The 23,257-nt window shown below is 37.3% G+C and overlaps 1 protein-coding gene and 1 long non-coding RNA gene across 3 annotated transcripts in view, besides 7 other annotated features; both read left to right on the top strand.

The window, feature by feature from the left end:
* Positions 1,457-2,065: an enhancer, noted in NCBI's record as "H3K27ac hESC enhancer chr3:81810661-81811269 (GRCh37/hg19 assembly coordinates)". NCBI's record gives its function as "activates a minimal SCP1, AML or CMV promoter by ChIP-STARR-seq in naive and primed H9 embryonic stem cells {active_cell/tissue: H9 hESC(naive and primed)}" and the evidence as "EXISTENCE:reporter gene assay evidence [ECO:0000049][PMID:30033119]".
* Positions 1,457-2,141: a biological region, named in NCBI's record as "H3K27ac hESC enhancer GRCh37_chr3:81810661-81811269".
* Positions 1,702-1,801: a silencer, noted in NCBI's record as "silent region_14540". NCBI's record gives its function as "represses an Ori minimal core promoter by ATAC-STARR-seq in GM12878 lymphoblastoid cells {active_cell/tissue: GM12878}" and the evidence as "EXISTENCE:reporter gene assay evidence [ECO:0000049][PMID:35858748]".
* Positions 1,852-2,141: an enhancer, noted in NCBI's record as "active region_20108". NCBI's record gives its function as "activates an Ori minimal core promoter by ATAC-STARR-seq in GM12878 lymphoblastoid cells {active_cell/tissue: GM12878}" and the evidence as "EXISTENCE:reporter gene assay evidence [ECO:0000049][PMID:35858748]".
* GBE1 (1,4-alpha-glucan branching enzyme 1) overlaps positions 1,930-23,257 on the top strand; it is a 271,943-nt gene continuing 250,615 nt past the window's right edge. For both annotated transcript variants that reach the window (XR_007095662.1, NM_000158.4), the window contains exon 1: positions 1,930-2,200. Coding sequence is in view for 1 of the 2 variants with exons in the window: in NM_000158.4 (NP_000149.4) it covers positions 2,058-2,200 (143 nt within the window). In the remaining variant the exon portion in view is untranslated. The remainder of the gene's footprint in view (positions 2,201-23,257) is intronic.
* Positions 2,302-2,381: a silencer, noted in NCBI's record as "silent region_14539". NCBI's record gives its function as "represses an Ori minimal core promoter by ATAC-STARR-seq in GM12878 lymphoblastoid cells {active_cell/tissue: GM12878}" and the evidence as "EXISTENCE:reporter gene assay evidence [ECO:0000049][PMID:35858748]".
* Positions 2,482-2,651: an enhancer, noted in NCBI's record as "active region_20107". NCBI's record gives its function as "activates an Ori minimal core promoter by ATAC-STARR-seq in GM12878 lymphoblastoid cells {active_cell/tissue: GM12878}" and the evidence as "EXISTENCE:reporter gene assay evidence [ECO:0000049][PMID:35858748]".
* Positions 4,963-5,257: a silencer, noted in NCBI's record as "tiled region #3128; HepG2 Repressive DNase matched - State 8:EnhW". NCBI's record gives its function as "represses a minimal TATA promoter and a strong SV40 promoter by Sharpr-MPRA in HepG2 cells {active_cell/tissue: HepG2}" and the evidence as "EXISTENCE:reporter gene assay evidence [ECO:0000049][PMID:27701403]".
* On the top strand, positions 9,751-13,409 carry LOC124909490 (uncharacterized). Its single transcript, XR_007096259.1, has 2 exons — positions 9,751-10,376; positions 12,103-13,409. It is a non-coding gene; the product is annotated as an uncharacterized LOC124909490 (long non-coding RNA).

Raw genomic sequence — 23,257 nt, 5'->3', positions numbered from 1 at the left:
AGCAAATAATCTTAGAGGCTATTATACAACAAATTCACTGAGTTCCAGGAAAGTCAGTGTGACTAGAGCATAGTAAAACTGGAAAATGATGAGAAAAGTGGCTGGAAAGGTAGTCAGGGTCCAGATTATACAAGCCTTGTTAGAGAATGATAAGCTGTTTCTATTTTACCCTAAGTGAAATACTATGCTATTTAAGTTGCTAAATGACATCGTCTGATTTACTCAGTGTAGAGTCTCACCAAACTGTGTCCCCAACCACCAGCATCAGAATCACTTCTGAGCTTGTTAAAAATGCAATCTGAAGCACCACATCGGAACTCAATTAAGATCCCTAGGTGATTCATATGCACATTAAAGTGTGAGAAACACTGGTACAGAGAATGGAGTAGAGGTGAGAAAGAGTAGAAGAGGGGAAGTCAGTTAGAGAGCTACATTCTGGTCCAAGTGAAGGAAAACAGTGGCCTGCATAAGAGTGACAGCAGGAAGGATGAGAAGACGGATTCTAGGTCACGTTTTGCAGACAGTTTGTTTAGGTCTCCTAGCCAGCTAAATGGAAATCTCAGTAGACAGGCAGTGATACAAGCCTGGGTTTCTGAAAAAAGTTTAGGCTTGGAGATGTAGATCTGTGGGTCTGTTATTAATAGTTGTCCTGCTTCGGGTTTTTATTTTTTTTTAATTTTCTTCCTTTTTTAGTGCTTTATATTTTACAAATGTCTGCAGCAGTTTTTTGTCATCTTTATGGAAAACAAGGCACGTCTTAAAGTCGTTCAAGTCCTTCACTTTTTCACACTGAGGTCTGTCTTCATATCCACTTATCTTTCAAGTCTATGAAACCCCTTATAAAAACTTTCCTTTGAAATATTTTAAAATTCAAGGCCCACGGCTGATTAATACTGTTTCTCCTCCATAACCCCTAGGATCCTCCAGTTCTGGGTTTTAACAAGAAAAATATCCTCAATCCTCTCTAGTTTCTAGGTGTAAAGCAGCTTGGACCCTCCTGGGTTTGGTGGGTCCATCTCTCTTGGAGTCCAACTCTGTATTCCTAAAAAGCAATTATTGAAATAGAAGCTAGTCAGTTAATGGCAATAAAAGAAGGGAATTCCAAGTGGGAGCTTCCCAAGCCAAGAGGAAGAGAGGTTTCTTGCCTTATCACTGTAAGTGGCAGAGTGGAGTTCCAATTCAATGATATCATTTGTGTTATCAAAGGTAGTTTAATCGTTGAAAAGCTTGTTAACAATTATAAACACAGGCAAATGCCTTTTCCTTTTTGGCCTTACGGAGAATGAGAAAAGTTCTTCCCATGGCTAAAATTCTTAGCTGTTGGTAATGCAGAAAAGAGTACCAGAACAGCAGAATTCCAACGGTATTCCAGGATTCTGTGTCTTGGTTAATTTTAAATTCACGTGACCTGGCAAACTTAGGAGAGTCCTGGTTGTAAGAGGTATTAACATTTTCAGCAGTAGTACTCTAGCTACACTTGACTGTTCCCCTCTCTGTGAATTTACATGATATGTTTGAAATACTGCCCCTCAAAAGTCTCAGAACTTTGAGAAATACGGTCCTTTCCAAAAAAACCCCTTATGTCCAATTTGAAGGGGTCGCTGTCAGTGGGTGCTTAAGTGGGTAAAGAAAAGCCAAGAATATGTCAGGGTGAGGAAGGCCAAGGCTGAGCGAGGTCAGCTTGGGACCCACCTCCTAGAATGACCTCCGCCAGCAGGAAAAAACCGTTAAGGGGAGGAAAGGGCAGGTCCCTGCGGCCTCCAGGTGCCAGCCGCGTGAGTGGGCGGAGAGGCCTCGGTGCCTCCTACCCGCTCCGGACGTGCGTCCCGGCATCACCCCGGGATCCGCTCCTCCCCGCTGGCGGGGGGAGAAAGGGCAGGAGGCCTTCCGTCCCGGCTATAAAGGGCCCCGGACCGCCGCGGCTCGCCTCGGCTTGCCTCGACACGCCTAGGCGCCCTCCGGCTCCGCCCTAGCCGCCGCGTCCCAGCTAGAGCTCCAGCGCCCGCTCAGGCCCCACTCGACCTCTCGGGCCTCGGCTACTTGGACTGCGGCGGAATATGGCGGCTCCGATGACTCCCGCGGCTCGGCCCGAGGACTACGAGGCGGCGCTCAATGCCGCCCTGGCTGACGTGCCCGAACTGGCCAGACTCCTGGAGATCGACCCGTACTTGAAGCCCTACGCCGTGGACTTCCAGCGCAGGTACCGCCGGAATCCCACCACCCCCACTTAGACAGGCAGCCCGCCTCCCAGGAGCCGTCTCGGGACACGGGCCGCCCCTCGGCCCTCGCGCGCCAACCCCGCCCCAGGCGGGGAGGAACCTGAGTGGGCGGGGCTCGGGGTGACTCGGGTAACCGGGTTCTGTGGCTTCCGTAGTGGCAGGTTTGACAGCGCTGGTGCCCGGAGCGGGCGCTGAAGAAACTTCTTTCCTCATCCCCTTTCCCCTCTGTTCTAATCAGCGGTCTTGCGCCATAGGGTACGTGCTGTGGCTCCAACACTTATTCCCCAGAGTGCTGCTGGGGAGTGACTCACCGCCGCTGCAGGTTTTCTGACTTTGGCACCCACTAGCGTGGGCCTGTGGAGTAACGTGGGCATAACTCCTGGCACGTGTAATTACGCATTTAAAACTTTCTAGTTTATTTCATAGCAAATGTTGTGATTTTATATCTAAGAGGATTCCTTCAGGCAGACACTATATCCTTTTGTTTTTTCCTTGCTAATATTCCTCATTTAGGGGAAGATTACACCTACATTGATCAATTTTTTCTCCCCTTGGATCAACATTGAGAAGTTAAATGTACATCAACATTTGTCCGTGTGTGACTTTAACCATCTTGAAGAGGGAGAAAGGTCAGGAAAGCAACTTTTACAGGCCAATGTCGTTTTAGCTTGTCTTCTACCATTGTGTACCATACAACTTTAGTTACTGGGCTAATAATTCTATTCATAAGTTCCACTAAAAAGGTACAGGTCTTTTTCTGTTGTCGTTGTTGTTTGAAGTAAAAGAGCTATTATACAAGTTGTAATAGTTATACTTGTGAGGTTACCCCATTTTGATTTAATAGTTTCTCCCCTTTTAGGAGAGACACTGCAGAATGGAAACTATCCTGGCAACAGAATATACATGGCCAATTTTTCGAGTGATGGAAAACATCCAACTAGTTAACTGGCATGAAGGAGCGTTGAGAGTAATGAAAATGGGTTGATTTGGAGTTTGAAAAAAGCCCAGCAAATTGTTTGTGTCCTAGCATTTTCAGGTATTAAATGCATTCAAATCAGCAAGTGTTTATTGAGGAACTCCTATAAATAAAACACTGCTCTAGGGATTGTAAGGGATGTGAAGTTTCATTCTTGAGCTTGTATATAGTAGTGAATGAGGCCTCTGTAAAATAATCACCTTGAGCTGTCCCTCACTTAATCAGATGATTATGCTCTTATATAAACCATATGAGGAGCAGCCTTGTGAAATTGTTTTCAGAATTTACAGTATATGCTTTCAGAGAAACTTAGTGCATAATCGTCATAGGTTTAAGGTTGGATTTGATTTAGAAATAGTCAGAAAAAATTTAGAACAAAAGATAGTGATTAAAGGTAGTGGTTAGATTTTTTTTTTGATGTCCTTGTAACCATGACATTAATTTACCTGTGTGCTTTGTAAAAGGACACTTAAGATATTTATTAAAGAAGAGTTGTGGAAATGTTTTATCTACACCCCCTTCCTTTTTTTTTTAAATGACACAAACAGATTAACATTCTTTATTAAGTGTTTCTTTCATGTACTTTATTTCCAACTCCACTGGGATTGAAGCATTTATAATCTTCTTTCATGGTTTGCCAAAACTAATGAAGGGAACAAAGGCCAAGATAAAGAAGGGAAGAGAATCCAGTGTGCTTGGTGAAAAGTCTCGTCCAGTGGGCCCTCATGCCTCACTCTGACCCGGATTTTACTTTTGTCCTTGGTTCTGAGTAATGGCCATTTGCTAGCATACATGTTCCATTTAGGCATATCAAATAGTAATTTGGCATTTGTTAGTGGTAACTTCTATTGTTAACACTTGAAGAATAAAACATTTTTCCTTCATACAATCTGGTCTTAGTTCCTTGTCCAATTTTCCATTTATTTCTGATAATCCATTTGGACTGTGTGTCTTTGGCCTAACACAAATACATAACCAGTCAAACACTTAGGTGCAAAGTATGCTTACTAAGGAGTGAAGAAAATTTGAGGTACAAACAACAGTATATAATTAAGGTGATGAAGAAGGAAATTTCTCTTTGATGGACTGTCTCATCCTTCCCCAACAGATATCTTTTGATTTGAAATTTTTTGGATGTTCCCTTAGGATGTTTTGGATGTTCCTTCCCTTCTTTACCTTGGCCTTTTCCCCTTCTGTATTAGTCCGTTTTCATGCTGCTGATAAAGACATACCTGAGACTGGGCAATTTACAAAAGGAAGAGGTTTATTGGACTTACAGTTCCAAGTGGCTGAGGATGCCTCGCAATCATGGCAGAAGGTGAAAGTCATGTCTCACATGGTGGCAGACAAGAGAAGAGAGCTTGTGCAGGGAAACTCCCCTTTTTAAAACCATCAGGTCTCGTGAGACTTACTTACTATCAGGAGAACAGCGTGGGAAAGACCTGCCCCCATGATTCAGTTACCTCCCATCAGGTCCCTCCCACAACACGTGGGAATTCAAGATGAGATCTGAGTGGGGACACAACCAAACCATATCACCTTCATTAGTTGTTCTTTTCACCTTCTGTACCTGTGAGAATTTTGAATCAAGTGTAGAGGATTAATGAGTTACTCTGCTATAAAATAAAAATTAGTACATTATTAGCATGACTGACCACCTCCATGTTGTCTCATTGATGACCTCCCAAAATAGCATTTTCCACTTGATTTTTCTACCTTTTATTTAGTTATTTACTTGTTGTTACACTACAATTAGTTGTTATAATTCCAAAATCTTAGTGCTTTAAAACAACATTTAATTGTTCCCATATTACATGTCAGCATGAGTCAGCCAGAGGGCCCTCCTCATGGCAGTCACTCAAAAATCTAGGCTTATGAAGGATTTGTTTTGAAACATGCTTCTGTAGAGGTGGTCACAGTGCAAAGAGAAGCATGTTGAACTATGCACTATTTCTTACAGCTTTTGCCTAGCAGTGAGTCCATTCTGCTGATACGTTACATTGGCCAGTGCCCATCAGCTTGCCATGTGGGTGAAACAGAGAATTGGCATTTGTGAACATTGTCAAAACAACACAATTTAATAATACTACTTTATACCCTCTGTTTAATGTTTATAAAGTACTTTCAGATCCGGTATTTAATGTAATCCTCATAACAAAACCATGAGGTAGACAGACGGTGGGCATTTTTCCTGTTTTGCAGATGAAGAAACTAAGTGATGGGCTTGAGCATATATGGCATAAGTAAGTGCTGCAACTGTGATTAATCTTTCTTTACTGAAACTGTTCTCAACCAGTTCACAGACAACTTCATGATAATTTAGGGATCCCTCTTTTCTTTATCTCTAGCATTGTACATGTTGGACTATTTCTTGGCTCTTTGAAGCCATAATCTTGCTTTTCTTTCATTTTCTCAGCCTCTTTTTGACCATTTAATGTAAGAGATTTTCAAGGTTCTTCCCTGGGATCATTTATGTATTTCTATTGTATATTTTCTCCCTAGACATTCTCATCCATCCCATGGATTCCATCTATCTACTGAGGCTGCCCACATCTGTCTCCACTCTAGATCTTTCTCCTTATCTTGGACTTATTTATATCTTCATTTTGATGTTTTATAAATACAAATCTCAACATGTATAAAACTGAACTTAACAGATTTTCATTCCAAACATGTTTGTCCCTGTCAACCCAATCGCAGTGTCTGGAATCTTCCTCTACCAGCTGCTCAAACCTAAAAGGTAACGAGTGATTTCTAATTACTCCCGTCTCCTCCTAGACCTTTGAGTCTAGTCAATTGTAGCCCCTAACTTTTAAGTATGTAGCATGCTGCCTTCCTACTGCTGCCATCCTAGTTCAGGTTGCTAGCATCTCTAGTATGGTTTACAGAAACAACCTCATAGCTGTTGTTCTTTTTTCAAATCTTCACTCCATTCTAACTTCTCCACTCCTCTTCATTCCAAACAGAGTAAGTAGAATGGATTTTGAAATAAACAAATCTGATCATGGTACTCCTCTGCTTAAACCCTTTCAACCATTCCTCATTTCTCTTGAGTTCTGTACAGCCTCCTTCCCATAACTTAGAAGATTCTGCATTATCTGGTCCCTGTTGACCTTTTCAGCCTCCCTCTCGGTACCATCTAACCAGAGGGCCATAAAGGGAGAGGGCAGCTTGGATCTCTGGGGACCATTCTGTAAAGGTACCAGAATACCAGTAAAATAAATTAGAAACATGATATCCATTTCCCACATGCATTCCTTTTTTCTTGAATATTGAAGATTTTCATTTCTTATTTTGTCCACACACAAGAAATTGGGGCATCTGGAAAAATCACTGAATAAAAGATAAGAAAGATGAAGAATTAGAAAAATTTTCTAATCTTTATCAGAAGAGTGACAGATTTAGCTTAGTAGGAGTGGGTTAAATAAGTGAATCTTTTCCTGTATTTAATATTTTCTTAATATAAAACAATTTCTCTACCCCATGAAAGAGAAACATTTAACAAATGTTTGAGTATCAGCTGGAAAGTGTGACATCATATTATCCTGTCTTGGATGCCACATGTTTTGGTTTAGCCCTCAGTGAAGCTGTGCTTTTGTACATGCTATTGCTTCTGCCTAAGCATTCTTTGCTTCTACCTTAGGATAGTTCCTATACATGTTTTGGGACACAGCTTAGAGATATATTATATGCCTTCTCTGACTTCGCCCTGTCTCAAAGCTTCTTCTGGGCTGGTTGAGGGGTCCCTCTTCTTTTCTGCCACCTTGGACCACTATCCTATGCATGCTCATCCACTGTAATACAGTTGTCTTTCTACTCTTTGTATCCCCCACTAGATTGTTTGCTCTCATAAGTGGGTACTATGTCTATATTATTTATTCACTGTTGTATTCCTCAGTCTGTAGAACTGGACCTGCCTCACAGTAAATACTTAGTGTAATACTTGAATGAGCCAGTGGCTGAGTGAATATCTTCTGACTTCATTTTTCCTTTGTGCCATACCAGTGAGTCTATGGTCAATTCACCTGGAGCTAAAAATGTCTGGATTACTAGGGTAGATGAACAGGGAACAGGAGTAGTTACTAGAGGTTTCATGTGACAATCTGGGTAAGGGGAATATATGCTCAATTAAAGAGCTAAAGATGACCAGAATAAATCAAGAAAATAGCTTCTTAATTAGATACTTTCATACTCATCAGAGACTAAAAGTTTGATCTCTGAAGGAATAGTCAGTTTGAGAGAATCTGATGTCAAGTTGTAGCTGTGTGTCCAAGAATGGGAGAAGGGGTTTTATGATAAATATTATATGTTAAGTATTACAATTACAGTGAAGAGCTCTACTTGGTTAGAAATAAAATAATTTTCACATTGGTATCTATTAAAATTAGAAAGTAATTTGGATTTGGTACGTTAGCAACCACTCCAAGAAATTAAAAAAAAATTGTATTGAGGTAAAATGTACATATATAATTCACCATTTTTACCATTTTTAACCACAGTTCAGTGGTAATAAATAAATTTATATATATTTTCCTCCTTTATCTTCCTTCCCCACTGTCCTTCCCAGCCTCTGGTAACCTCCAATCTACTTTCTGTCTTCCTGAGAAACACTTTTTTAGCTTCTGCATATGAGTGAGAGCATGTGATATTTGCCTTTCTGTACTTGGCTTATCTCACTTAACATAATGGTCTCCAGTTCCATCCATGTTGCTGCAATGATAGGATTTCATTAATTTTTATGGTTGAATAATATTCCATTGTGTATATATACTGTAGTTTCTTTATCCATTCATCCGTTGATAAGCACTTAGGTTAATTCCATATTTTAGCTATTGTGAATAGGGCTGCAATAAACATGGGAGTGCAGATATCTTTTCAACATACTGATTTTATTTCTTTTGGATATATACCCAGTAGTAGCATTGGTGGATTATATCATAGTCATATATTAACTTATTTGAGGAACTTCTATACTGTTTTTTTTTCCAAGTGGCTATGGTAATTTACATTCCCACCAACAGTGTATGAGTGTTCCCTTTCTGCACATCCTAACCAGCATCTGTTACTGCCCATGTTTTTGATACAAGCTATTTTAACTGTAGTGAGATGATATTGCATTGTGGTTTTGATTTGCATTTCTGTGATGATTAGTGATATTGAGCATTTTTTTCATACACCTGTCGGCCATTTATATGTTTTCTTTTGAGAAATGTCTGTTCAGATCTTTCGCCCATTTTAAAGTCAGATTTTTTTGCTATCTGATTATTTGAGTTCTTTGTACATTATGGTTATTAATCTCTTATCTGATAGTTTGCAGATATTTTCTCCTATTCTATGGGTTGTCTGTTTACTTTGTTGATTGTTTCCTTTGCTGTGCAGAAGCTTTTTAGCTTGATTTATACTCTGATGTCTATTTTTGCTTTGATAGCCTATGTTAAGGTCTTACACAAGAAATCTTTATGTGAGAGACCAGTGCCCTGGAGCATTTTCCCAGTGTTTTCTGCTACAATTTTCATAGTTTCAGGTCTTAGACTAAAGTTTTTAATCCATTTGATTTGATTTTTGTGTATGATGAGATATTAGGGGTCTAGTTTCATTCTTCATCATATAGTTATCCAGTTTTCCCAGCACCATTTATTGAATAGACTGTCCTTTCCCCATTTTAAGTTCTTGGCACCTTTGTTGAAGATGAGTTGGTGGCAAATGTGTGTATTTAGATCTGAGTTCTCCATTCTGTTCCATTAGTCTATGTGTCTGTTTTTATGCCAGTACCATGCTGTTTTGGTTTCTATAGCTTTGTAATACATTTTAAAGCCAGGTAGTATGATGCCTCCAGCTTTTTTCTTTCTTCCTTTTTTTTTTTTTGCTAAGATTTATTTGGCTATTTGGGGTCTTTTGTGGTTTCATTTAAACTTTAGGATTTATTTTTATATTTCTGTGAAGAATATGATAATCAGCGTTTTGATAGGGATTGCATTGAGTCTGTAATTGCTTGGCTAGTATTGTCATTTTAACAATATTAATCCTTCTAATCCGTAAACATGGAATACCTTCCCATTTTTTGGTGTCCTCTTGTATTTCTTTCATCAGAGTTTTATTGTTTTCCTTGTATAGATCTTTCACTTCTTTGGTTATATTGATTCCTAGGTATTTTGTATTCGTTGTAGGTATTGTAAATGGGATTGCTTTCTGGATTTATCTTTCAGATGGTTCTCTGTTGGCATATATAAATCATACAGATTTTTATATTTCGATTTTGTATTCTGCAACTTCACTGAATTTGTTTACCACTTCTAACAGCTTTTGGGTGGAGTCTTTATGTTTTTGTAGGTATATAATCATGTTGTCTGCAAACAAGGCTAATTTGGCTTCTTCCTTTACAGTTTTGATGCCCTTTAGCTGTATCTCTTGCCTAATTGCTCTGGCCAACCACACCAAAAATTGGTTCCCACAGCGCAGAAGTTTTATATCACAGTGGAATGGGGTACTTTTTTCTCAGTGCCTGGCCAAGTTGTGGGCTCTGAAGGAAGTCAGATGTCAGTGACTGTAGAAGGCAGTGAAGAATCTGAAGATGACAAGATGTACATGACCTGCTCTTCTGCACTACTAGATTCATTTGCCCTTTGCAGCTGAGATCTTTACTAACTCCAGTCATTCCTGAATTCTCTACAGTGATGGTCAACAGGCTCTGACCTCTTCTCATTTTCAAAGTGCCTTCAAATGACTTCGTGGAGCATCTTGGTTTAGTTTAGGCTCTGGCACCTGCTGCACCACCTCCTGAGAAATGACTGTGTGTGTTGTAACTTACAGGATTCCTTTCAGCTCTCATCAAACTGGGCCTTGGTCAGCTAGTGAGGTGATAATATTGTCTCTGTGAAATATGCTATAGTTTTAGACTGATAAGTATATCATACTGCTGTTATTTGAAAGCACATATTAAACTTTGATTATACATTTATAGGTATTAAAGGAAAATATGAAAGTGTATTCTTTGGAGAAAATTGCTACTACCAGGTACCTTTCATTGTAAAGTGAGCTGATTTTCTTCTTATGGCAATATGAGCTCATCAGTTTATGTTCACCACTGTTTTGAATCCAGGGCTCCTTTGTGTTTAATATCCAGAAGAATCCCCATTGTGTTTTGTGTTTAGGGCAACAGGAACCCGGTACCTTGACAAAAGGTAAGACTCTATGTTAAACACATGATTATGTAGAGTTTTAAAATATGTTATACATCTTACATTCATTGATTTATTATACAATTAAATTTTAGCTCTTATAACTATTAAATAGCTTTGAGTCCTAGGGAAAATTAATCAACCTCTGTGAACTTATTTCTTCATCCATAAAAGTTGGATAGAATCCACTTTGTAGGGTGTCTTGAGGACTAAGAATACATGTGAAGATGCTCAGTAAACAAATAATAGTTTGATGATAATATTATTAGCAAACTAATATATCAAGTTAAATATTTACTAGGATATTACTTTCAGAAGATTTTACTGTTTGCTTCTTTAACACTGTATTCTGAAATCAATCATCAGATAAATACCATGACCAGAAATTCCCCACAACTCTTTGTTTTGCTAGTTAACTGTGCCTTACTTTAGGGGGTTCCTTCTTTTTTTTTGTTAGTAGGAGTGATTGTGTGAATGAGGTGAGGCAGGTGGTAATTTTAATCATAATCTAATAGAGAAGGAAAGGAATATGTTTAAACTTTGATCCTTAATTTAGAGAGGAAATGATAAAGAAATTGCCAGTTTACTATAAGCTGAAGGCAAGATGAGTCCTGGGATATAATGAGCACAAAGCTCCTTTTATTGAGAGAGGTAAATGCTAGCCTGCAGAAATTCAAAATCACTGTTCTCTTGATCTTCCTTTTCTGTCTTTTTCTTTTCTTTCATCTGACTGCTAAGTGTTCATATTCTTGGGCATCAAACAGCTGCAGGGATTTTCTTCCTCCTGAACTGTAGATGGTTAGAGGAATGGTCATACTGAGTTTACTAATAGCAGGAGTAACTTTGAAAATAAGACTAATGTAGAAGAAGAAAAAATATATAATAGCAGCATAAAAGTTTGAAAATGAAATAATTATTCTAGTGGAGTCTGAACATATGATATGTGCATATTAATTAGAAAAAGTTATAAATCCAATATTCTGCCTTCTCTTTTTTTTCCTCTCTTGCTTTTTGATATTTGATGGCTGCAGTTATTTTCAATGGGTTTGATTTTGCCATAAGATGCATAAAACAAATGAATAGAATATTCATATGTATTTTAGTAGATCCATTGAATGATTAATTTTAATGAGACACAATCTCTGGGTTTATACACTAGTTCTACAACCCAAAATATGATAATCAGAAACCAAATATACAAATGTATTTCTTGCATAAAGTTGAAGTTTTCCAAATACCCAGCAAAAAGAATTAACTGTTTGTTTTACCGGTGATATCACATGATACTCAGTGTCATCAATCTGTTTTCATTTCCATTAATAACACCTAGCCACAGGTTATATTTAATTATGAATAACTGCACAATACAGATATACACACCAGTACAGAAACATGATAAAATTGGTTATGCATTTAGGTTCATGTCATAGAAAACCCAGCACACTTTCAATTAACAGAATATCCCACAAGCAATGAATTATAGAAATAGAGGCTTGTGAAGAAAAGCGAAGGTCAGTGGTTTGGGCTTTAGCTTAAATACATCCTTCTTTATCTTCTGCTATATTATCCTTAGCATATGGTCTCCTTTCTTATGCTTAGAGGTTGATTGGGCACAGCTTGGCACCACATCCATGTTTCTAGCTGGAACACGTGCTAGCTTACTATGTCTTTTTTAGTGAAGCATATGTTAGCTTTCTTGTAAACTTCAACTGGTTCTTCCCATTTACAGGTTATTGATCAGAATTGTCCCATGGTCATCCTTAGCTGAAAGTGAGCCTGGATCATCAAGGCTTTCAGTGGCACACACATCTTCCTGAAATGTATCCTTTTGTCTCATCCATCACAACTTCCCAGGGCTCTTTTCCTTTCTCCAAAGAGGAAACTACATCTGGCAGAAGATGAAAAGCCCAGTGAGATCATGCTGTAGTCCTCTAAAATCACATCTATGCACAAATCATTCTGTGCAGGATCCAGGCATTCTACTGTTCCTGAGAGGAGTCTATAGTAACACCCCTCAGTATTACCAGCCGCTGGTTATGGATTTTACTTTGCTAGACCTGATCTTTGTTTTTCTGGGTTCTTTTTTTTTGGCGGAGGGCCGGGGGTATACAGAGACTTTTCACTGCTCTGTCTTAAGGTGATTCAGTCACTTCAGCTACTTGGCCCTAGCTCCACTATCTTCTTTTTTTAATTTCATGAATATTCTTAGAAAATATAAGAATGTTGCCAGGCGCAGTGGCTGACGCCTGTAATCCCAGCACTTTTGGAGGCTGAGGTGGGCAGATCACGAGGTCAGGAGTTTGAGATCAGCCTGGCCAATATGGTGAAACCTGCCTCTACTAAAAATACAAAAATTAGCCGGGCGTGGTGGCACGCACCTATAGTCCCAGCTACTTAGGAGGCTGAGGAAGAAGAATCGCTTGGACCGGGGAGGAGGAGGTTGCAGTGAGCCAAGATCGCGCCACTGTATTCCAGCCTGGGCGACAGAGCCAAAAAAAAAAAAATACATATATATATATATATATACGTATATATATATATACATATATATATATACATATATATATATACGTATATATATATACATATATATATATACACATATATATATACGTATATATATACGTATATATATATACATATATATATACATATATATATACGTATATATATATATGAATGTTTTGAGATGAAATTGGTTTCTTAATTACTAATAATTTTTTCATCTTATCTTGGGCTCATGAAAAAATGGTCAGTTTTCAGTTATTTGGAGAATAGAAAATTTGTGTGATTAAAAAGAAAAGGAGAACAAAATTAAAAATGTCCATTAATTTATGCTAAGTCTTTAAAGCATGAATTATTTTTTTACGTAACTACACACAAGCTTATGAGGCTTTAACATTGTACCTTTCCGTGCTGTTCTTTTTAAAGCTTAAGATGTGTAACTATCAGTCTTCATGGTTGTCATTTTTGTGCTTTTTATTATTATTTTGTCTCAGCTTTTCTCTTTCTGCATTAAAATACTCTGACACTTTTGTTTACCTGTTTGCTTTTTGCCTACACCTTGGAGTCTTCCATCCTCTTGACCATTTTGATTGGCAGTGTTATTTTTGTGGTTTAAGTTGTGCTTACTAGTAATAGGAGTGTAGTGAAACTAACAGGCTTCTTTTTGCTTTACTTCTCCAAAGTGCCTTTAATTAAAAACTGTATGGTACCCATGCAGTATTAGGCAAACCTCTACTCACAAATACAACATATAAACAAGAAGTACATAGAAATAAGAGTAGTATCAAACCTAAGGGTTGGTTTTAGCAGGTTCCAAGTACCTATAAAGTCAGAGGACATTTGAAAACATAGTGGAGATTGTTTAGACAATTGTAAATTGTGTTAGACCGTATTAAAAAAAATCATTCTGAAATAATTACAGACTCACAGAAAGTTGCAAACAGAGTTTAGAGAAGGCTCCTCTACCCTTCACTAAGTTTGCTGCAGTGGTAATATCTTGCATAACTGCAGTGGTTGTATCAAAACCAGGAGATTGACATTGGTGCAAACTACAGACCTTATTTACATTTCTCCAGTTTTTACATATACTTATTTGTGTGTGTCTACACTTCTATACAATTTTATCACATGTGTATATTAATGTAACTGACACTGCAATGAAGATATAGAACTGTTACATCACTACGAAGGAATGCTCTCCTGCTATTCCTTTATACTCACATTGCCCCTCCCCCACCCATCCCTAACTTTTGGCAACCAGTGAGTTATATGGTTTGCATGTCTGTAATGTTTTTCATTTGGGGAGTGTTCTATGAATGAAATCATATATCAGTTTTTGACAGTGGCTTTTTTGGCCTTTTTTTTTCATTCAGCATAATTCCCTTGAGATCTCTCCACGTTGCATATATCAATAGTTTGTTCCTTTTTGTCACTTAGTGGTATTCCATTGTATGGATGTACCATCCATCCAGTTTGTTTATTAACCTGTTGAAGGACATTTGGATTGTTCCCAGTTTTTGGCTATTACAAATATTACAGTAAACCTAAGATATGAATATTTATGTATAGGTTTTATTTCTCTGAGATAAATGCACAGAATGCTGTGATAGCTGGGTCACGTGGCAAGCATTTGTTTTATAAGGAATTTCCAGATATTTTCTTTTTTTCTTTTTTCTTTTTTTTTTTTTTTTGAGACAGAGTCTTGCTCTGTCACCAGGCTGGAGTGCAGTGGTACCGTCTTGGCTCACTGCAACCTCTGCCTCCCTGGTTCAAGCGATTCTCCTGCCTCAGCCTCCCTGGTAGCTGGCACTACAGGTGCGCACCACCATGCCCAGCTAATTTTTGTATTTTTAGTAGAGACGGGGTTTCACCATGTTGGCCAGGATGGTCTCGATCTCTTGACCTCATGATCCACCCACCTCTGCCTCCCAAAGTGTTGGAATTACAGGCTGAGCCACTGCGCCCGGCCTCCAGATATTTTCTACAGTATCTGTACAAGTTTGCATTCCACTGGATGCAGTTGATCTGCATCCTTGCCAACATTTGGTATTATCATTAATTTTTGTTGTTGTTGTTGTTTTTTGAGACAGAGTCTCCTTGCTCTATCACCCAGGCTGGAGTGCAGTGGCGCGGTCTCGGCTCACTGCAAGCTCCGCCTCCCGGGTTCACGCCATTCTCCTGCCCCAGTCTCCCGAGTAGCTGGGACTACAGGCGCCCGCCACCACACCCGGCTAATTTTTTGTATTTTTAGTAGAGACGGGGTTTCACAGTGTTAGCCAGGATGGTTTCAATCTCTTGACCTGGTGATCCGCCCTCCTCGGCCTTCCAAAGTGCTGTAATTATAGGCGTGAGCCACCGCACCCGGCCTTCACTATTTTTTATGTTAACTAATAGGTATATAGTGCTATGTCATTGTGGTTTTAATTTGCATTTTTCTAATGCCTAATTACATTTAAAGATCTTTTAAAGTATTATTTTCTATTTGTACGTTTTCTTTGGTGAAATGTTTATTCATGTCTTTTGCCCATTTTCTAACTGGATTGATTTTTCTTTTTTCACTTGCCGGTTTTTGTTTTTTGAGATGAGTCTTGCCCTGTTGTCCAGGCTGGAGTGCAGTGGCGTGATCTCGGCTCACTGCAACCTCTGCCTCCCCATTTGAAATGATTCTCCTGCTTCAACCTCCCTAGTAGCTGGGATTACAGGTGCGTGCTTTCATGCGCGTCCGTGTGAAGAGACCACCAAACAGGCTTTGTGTGAGCAATAAAGCTGTTTATTTCACCTGGGTGCAGGCGGGCTGAGTCCGAAAAGAGAGTCAGCGAAGGGAGATAAGGGTGGGGCCGTTTTATAGGATTTGGGAAGGTAATGGAAAATTACAGTCAAAGGGGGTTGTTCTCTGGTGGGCAGGGGCGGGGGTCACAAGGTGCTCAGTGGGGGAGCTTCTGAGCCAGGAGAAGGAAATTCAAAGGGTTAATCACTCAGTTAAGGTGGGCCAGGAACAAATCACAATGGTGGAATGTCATCAGCTAAGGCGGGGCAGGGCCTTTTCACTTCTTTTGTGATTCTTCAGTTACTTCAGGCCATCTGGGCGTATACGTGCAAGTCACAGGGGATGTGATGGCTTGGCTTGGGCTCAGAGACCTGACATGTGCCACCACTCTCAGCTGATTTTTGTATTTTGAGTAGAGATGGGGTTTCACCATGTTGGCTAGTGTGGTCTCCAACTCCTGACCTCAAATGACCAGCCTGCCTCAGACTCCGAAAGTGCTGGGATGACAGGCTTGAGTTACTGAGCTTGGCCTATTTTTGTGTTTTGAGAGTTCATTATATGTTCTACACATAAATCCTTTGTTAGATTTGTGGTTTACACATATTTTCTTTCTGTCTGTGGCTTGTCTTTCTATCTTCTAAACAGAGTCTTTCACAGAGCAAAATTTTTAAATTTTAGTGAAGTTAAAAATTTCAATTTTTTCATTTATTTTGATGAATCATGCTTTTGTTGCCATATCTAAGAGCTCTTTTCCTAGCTCTAGGACCTGAACATTTTCTCTATTTTTTTTTCTAAAAGTTTTGTTGTTTTACATATTACATTTAAGTCTGTGATCCATTGTGCATTAATTTTTTGTGTAATGTTTTAGGTTTAAGTCCAGGTTTATTTTATTGCTTATGTGTGTTTGCTTCCTTTTAATGATCATAAACTGACAAACTTGTATTGAGAAGCGACCTGACCAAAATTACCCTCATCTTTAATCAGGTGTCACTGAAAGGTACAAGCAATGAAAATTTTTACACATATTATAGGTTATCGAAAGCATGGAAACAAACTGTCAGTTTTCTTATTTATGAGATCTCATTTTAAGCTTTGACAAACCCTAAACTTTAGGAAGCCAGGCAAAAATTTGTGATATATATGGGAATTTATTCTCAAGTAGGTGCCTCATGTTAAGGTTTTTTCTTTTCAGTTTTTGATTTTCATATTTTTCTGTCGTGTCACATTATTGATTTATATTCCAAATATTTCTTCATATGAATCTGTATGAATGTATATGTTCATGTATACTGCATAACTGTAGTGGTTATCATTTTAATTTGACTTATCATTTTAATTTGATTTTTTATTTTTAAAAATTTCATTTCTTGGCCAGATGTGGTAGCTAATGTTTGTAATCCCAGTACTTTGGGAGGCTGAGGTGGTTGGACTGAATGAGCCCAGGAGTTTTGAGACCAGCCTGGGCAATACAGTGAGATCCCATCTGTCCAAAAATAAAAATTAGCCAGGTATGGTGGCGAGCACCTGTAGTCCTAGCTACTTGGGAGGCTGAGGTGTGAGGATTGCTTGAGCCTGGGAAGTCAATGCTGCAGTGAGCTAAGATTGTGCCACTGCACTCCCCCTGGGTAACAGAGCAAGACCCTGTCTCAGAAAAAAAAACTTAAAACGTTTTATATTTTAGTCTCAGAACCCTCTCATTTCACAGTATCAGTCTTCACTTCTACATTATGAAAACGATTGCCTTTATTTATATACATTGAAGTACAGAGAAAAAACAAACACCTATTACTTTAAAAATAAGTTTCATTCATTTTGTCTGTTTATTTGACTTAAATGACAAGTAAATCTAATATTTTGTGTTATAATTTTATTTGTAAGAATGAATTGGTTAAATCTTAACTAATGTCAGTATTTTACAAAATTAGTTTCTTTTATCTAAATGAAATTAGCCTTTAGTTTATTCCAATATTAATATTTTCTTTGATATTTATCAGGGTTCATTATCTTATAAATATATTAGAAATCATAGCATGCCACTTTCCAAATAGAAATTGATTAGTTGTTGAGAGATGGAAGTTGTTTGTACGTTTATTTGGCAAAATTTAGAAAATTTATGAATAATATAGCTAAAAATTTATCTGCCTTTAAACAGAAAGGTAAAGTGGAGTAATTTTTCCACTATTCAACCTAATGTATTCAAATTATCATTTCAACATGTAACTTAAAAGATTACTGATGAGATATTTTACCTGTCATTTGTGCTAAGTTTTTGAGGAAATATTTATTCTACAATTGTAACTCATTATAATGAATTTGAAGCACTAAACATCCAAAAGTGATCTCTACCAAGTTTACTGATAATAATAATAATCATCACCATCATTACAATAATTATTATTGTTATAATTTACATATACATCATTTTATGTGCATTGGGGTCAGAGTCTGCCTTCCTAAGAAGTTTCCAGGTGATGCTGATGCTGCTGTTTCCCAGAGGATACTTTCAGTAGTAGGTAGTCCCATACCTCTGTTCAAAATGGAGTTAGCAAAGGGCTAAATTTTGTTCTGTAAATATGTAAGCTATAAGTATGTATTTCAAATTTTTAAAAATAAGTAATACATGTATATACTGATGAGGTTAACCAAGTTACTTAATTTTTTGGTGGTCACAGTAAGTTTTCTAACTCTTATTATAGGTAAAAAGGGTTTTATTGTTAATATTATCAAAGTTGCTTTTTCTTACATCTGTACTATGAGTTTTACTGTTGCAGATTTGTAAGAAGTTTATTCCTAACACTCTCTTTGGCACAGGCACTTTTCTATATGATAGCAGAACAAATATGAGTAAGATAGGCGTCCTACCTGACAGGAGCTCAGTTAGGCAAATAAACACAGAGTAGATATTTAATCACAAAGTTCAGTGTAATACAGATGAAAGCATATCTTCTTCTATTAAGGAAGGGGATAATACATATATGACAAAGAAGTTCTTTTGAATTGCTTTAAGTTCTCAAAATTATTTCTCTATTAAAATTAGAATGAGTCTTTAAGAATGTGGAAGTCTGTGGGTTTTGTGGAAATAAATAATGTAAGAGCTAAGACATTAATCTTCATTAAAACATTTAATGAAGGTATCATTTGAACTTTTATACAGCTTTGGTTACAGTGAAAGTTTACTTGCAAAATTGGTTCAGTTGGAAAATGTGCTTGTGTAAGAATTGCCACATTGTGTGAGCACTGAAGCCTCTAAAATAGCTTGCAAATCATATCTGAAAACACAGCAACATGTTTCTTTATAACAGATAAGCCCATTTTGGAAGGGATAGTGGGCTGTTTTTAATGGGAATGAGGCAATTCCTGAGTAAGCTAAGTGGCTGCATTCCTGAGTGAGTCAAGGGACATTATGAGTGTTATCTGGAGAGGTTTCCAGAAAAGCAAATGAGTACTGAATGCTCATGCTCCTCCTGATTCCATGTTAGGTGTCCTGCCCAGACCAATGTTATCCAATAGAAATGTAATATAAATCACACAGGTAATTTAAACTTTTCTAGTAGCCACATTAAAAAAGGTAGAAAGAAAACTAATTTTTACACTATTCAACCTAATGTATTCAAAGTATCATTTCAACATGTAACTTAAGAGTACTGATGAGATATTTTACCTGTCGTTTGTACTAAGTCTTTGAAATCTGATGTGTATTTTACACTTATAGCACATCTCAGTTGGGACTAGTCATATTTCAAGTGCTTAATAATAATGTTTGGCTGGTGGCTACCATATTAGACAGTGCAGGTGGGTATTTGAAATAACAGCTTTTGGAAAAAGTTGGTATCACTCCACAAAGAGATTCAAGGGGAAGATTAAGGAGGGAGAATGGTTCAGTCAGCCCTGTGTTCATAACAGAGGTAATTAGACCCAAAGAAATTCTGACTTAGCCTAAGATAGGGACTCTGCAATTATTGACCAGTGACTTTTTTATATTTGAAGATAAATAAGTAGATGATATGTTAAGTGTAAACATGGAGATATGCCACATACTTAACAGTGGCTAAGTAGGTGGTCATGTTTGCCCTAAGTTACTTGGCATGGCTAGTCCACGTTGACCTTTTCATTGAGGTAATTCTTATTCATGTCTTTTTTTAATGCTAAATGCATCATGTCCGTCCTATAAAGCAAAAACACAAACAACACAAAACAAAAACATGGGCCAGACAAAGTAAATCTGGTCTTTCTTGATAAAATGACTGAGATCAGGTGACTGCTGTCTGCTTTAATAGCCCTAGACCTTTCTGGATGTTCCAATTTCACTTGGATTCGGCCCAGATTAACAGCTGTTTCTAACTTCGTTGTCCCATGAATCTTGCTAAAGTGAGGTGACTCATTATGACTTGCATTATTTTTGAGTTGGTCTTTGCCTGTAAGAGAGGGGGGTTGGAAAGATTGATTCTCTGTTAAAACTTAAAACTAGTGATAATATTGTGGGGGTGTATGTGTGTTCATGATTGTGTGTGTGCCTTGTGTCTTTTTATATTCTTTTCTTCATGACTTGCTTTTCTTGTTTTCTCTAGATGGTAGTTTCTTCAGTGTTCATACTTTTTATTTATATTTGCATATATAACTTTAAATAATAGTTAACCTCATACTCATAATGAAAACATTGCCATTTTTAGAAGTATTTGCCTTCATGAGCAATCAGTCACATTCTTCCAGTGGAATGTTGTTTTCCTGCTCTCATCCATGTTGTGTTTTCCACACTATGCTGTTTAGTACGTGCTGACTCACTGAGCATCTTTGGGATGCTGGCTGTGTGTTTTGAATTTAAGAAGAGAAGAATATAGTTAGGGGACACATTATTGTCTTTTGGTATTTTCTATAGAATTTAGAATAGAGATTTGTACTCAGGGGTGTTTTGCAAATGTGTATTGACTAGGGGTCTGGTCTAGCTTGTTCTGTAATATTAGGAATCTAGAAATATTTATTACTGTCGTTGTTGGAGGGTCCCTAGAAACAGTTGGGAGTAATTCTTTTATCATGTAGTGGCCTGTGGTGGGCAAAACCTCTCTCACATACCGCTTAACCTTTCTCGTGTCTAATACTACTCATGAAGAAGATTGTAATTTGTGCATTGTGCTTTTATCAGGTTGCTGTTCCCAATGCAGTTAGTGTAATTTTTCATTTCCTAACAGTCCTCGGGCAATTCTGTTTAACATGCTTTCTATTTCAGAACATTCTCCTATTTAAAAAACTTCTTTCGCCTCAGGCCCAACATGATTTTCCAGCCAGGCCAGTAGTAATTTCTATCATTCCTGGCTTCATTCACCTTCACTGTTAAAATTCGATGTGGATTTCCTAAGAAGGTTTCCTTTTTGTGTTTATGGCATAGCAAATGATGGGGCGCCTATGCCTTCTTTGATATTATTTGGTTCACAAAAATATTATTTCATTTTTATTACTAAGGGGAAGACATGCATGCCCAGTTTTCATATTTATTTCAAATCTGTTTCAGTTATTTATGTCATAAACCATCCTTTTTTAATGAATAGAATTTTAATTGTCCACCTGAACTTTTAAAGTTGTTCATAGCATTTTCCTGAACAGCAGTATTCACACTAGAATAAGAGACTGATTTGCTGATTTTTTTATAACGTTCAAGTTCATTTAGTAGGTAGCAAATTCTCTTTTTAAAGTGCTATTTTAAAAGTGAATGAAACAGGTTATCTTCCTTTCCATCCCAAATGAATATGAATTAGGTATAATTTTTGGCTTGAGAGGAGATAGCATTTTAAGTAGAGGCTCTCGAAGCTACTCTTTGGGTCTGAAATTGGCTATAATGACATAATCTAGAAGGATTTAGGTTTTTAATGGGGGGAAGTCTGGCAAACAGAAACATGCAAGAGAAACCCTTTGCTGTCTTATTTTAAGGCACTACTGGTTTACATTGAGGTAGGTTTTGAAATATCTTTTTATAGTATCAAGATTTTCAAGAGATTCTAGGGAATATAGATGGGGAGGTGGAGGGCTAAACTAAAATTAGAGCTCTAGTTATAATATATATTATATATTATATATAAAAAACTATATATTATATATAATCTATATAATATGTATAATACTCTATATTATGTAGAGTATAATACTCTATATATTATGTAGAGTGTTATATATTATATAGAGTATTATACTTTTTATATATCATACATGTTATATGTGTGTATATTTGTGTTGTATACACACCACATATACATAGAACTTGTGTGATGTATGCATGGCTTTTATATTATGCCTTGTATTAGTTGGAATGTTTTCCCATTAATTATGCTGATTTCTGTGTACAAACATGGGAGAAAATGGGGCTTTTCCTCTCTTTGGGGATACTCATCATAACATTAAGGAGAAAGGAAGAGTACTTCTTTTTTAGGTTATAGTTTGCATTTTAGATTTCATTGCTGTTCCTCTCGACTTCCATCTGTGTTGACATTTGGGAATTTTGTGGTTGCTCTTTCTCAAGTGGAGTGGAAATGCTTAAAACAGAATTTACACTTTTAAATACAACCAAGGCTCTATTGCATTGTGATTCACTCCAGGTCTGAATACTTTTTCTTTGGCTTAAAAAAAAATCAAATGGTTTGTTGAACTAAATATTTCTCAAGCTTGCAAACTTACTGATTATTATACATTATTAACAACCACTTTTGCATTAATGGAAAGATCTGGCTGAAAATACAATGATAAATATTAAGGTTTTAGACACTTAATATTTTATGGCATCAAAGATGTTTTTATATAGACGGTATTGTTAATTGTTATTTGTTAATGACATTGTGGTTTAATTTTATTTTGGTTTTTAGTTAAGGCTCAATTATAACCCAGGAAATACTAAAAATTTGAATAAGCCATAAATAGCCAGATTTGGTGCTGTATGACTTATGTTGGCTCTGTGCTCTATTTTTTCTTAACCTTTTAAATCCCTGTCAGTTGGCATTTTCTGTACGGGTGTGTATGAGAGAGAGATTTTGGGGCTGAATAATTAGTGGTCTGGACCTCAGTTCAGTTACTGAGAGGGTGAATTCCCTAAGACTCCTTTTAGCTTTTAATGTTTGTGATGGATTCTTTTAGACAAAATTTGATTTTAAATAAATTGTGTGTGTGTGTGTGTGTGTGTGCACTTTCTAACACTCTTAGGCAGTACAGTGGGAGTTTGTTGTAATTTCCAGATTCAGCCACTAAACAGGTGATCCGGAGGCACTATTCTTAGCAGTTTGTATAGTTGGAGAAAGACAGCAAAATCTTATAATGGCTTTAAGTATTTCATACTCCTCATTTTCAATTCTGGGCCTTATTGACTGGCCTTTGCTGGTTATTGTAGCCATTTCCCTCAGGTTTAGTTCTCTTCTCCGTACTGCGTTTATGAGAAAAATAATAATTAGAAGTTAAGTGGTCTCCAACATGAGACCATGTAATTCATGATTATTTGTTTTTTGTTTTGTTTTGTTTTGGCTTTTCTTAAAGGCCAGCTTTACATATGGGTAGATACCAGCTTAAAAAAAAAAGAGAGAGATCCTCTATGTATAGCTGAAAATCTTATTTTCTTGGTGCTAAGACAAAATTCAGG

Source organism: Homo sapiens, chromosome 3 (genome assembly GCF_000001405.40).
Source record: "Homo sapiens chromosome 3, GRCh38.p14 Primary Assembly".
NCBI classification, from domain to species: Eukaryota; Metazoa; Chordata; class Mammalia; order Primates; family Hominidae; genus Homo; species Homo sapiens.
Note: the sequence above shows the minus strand (reverse complement) of the source record. Positions and strands in the feature narration are given on the sequence as shown.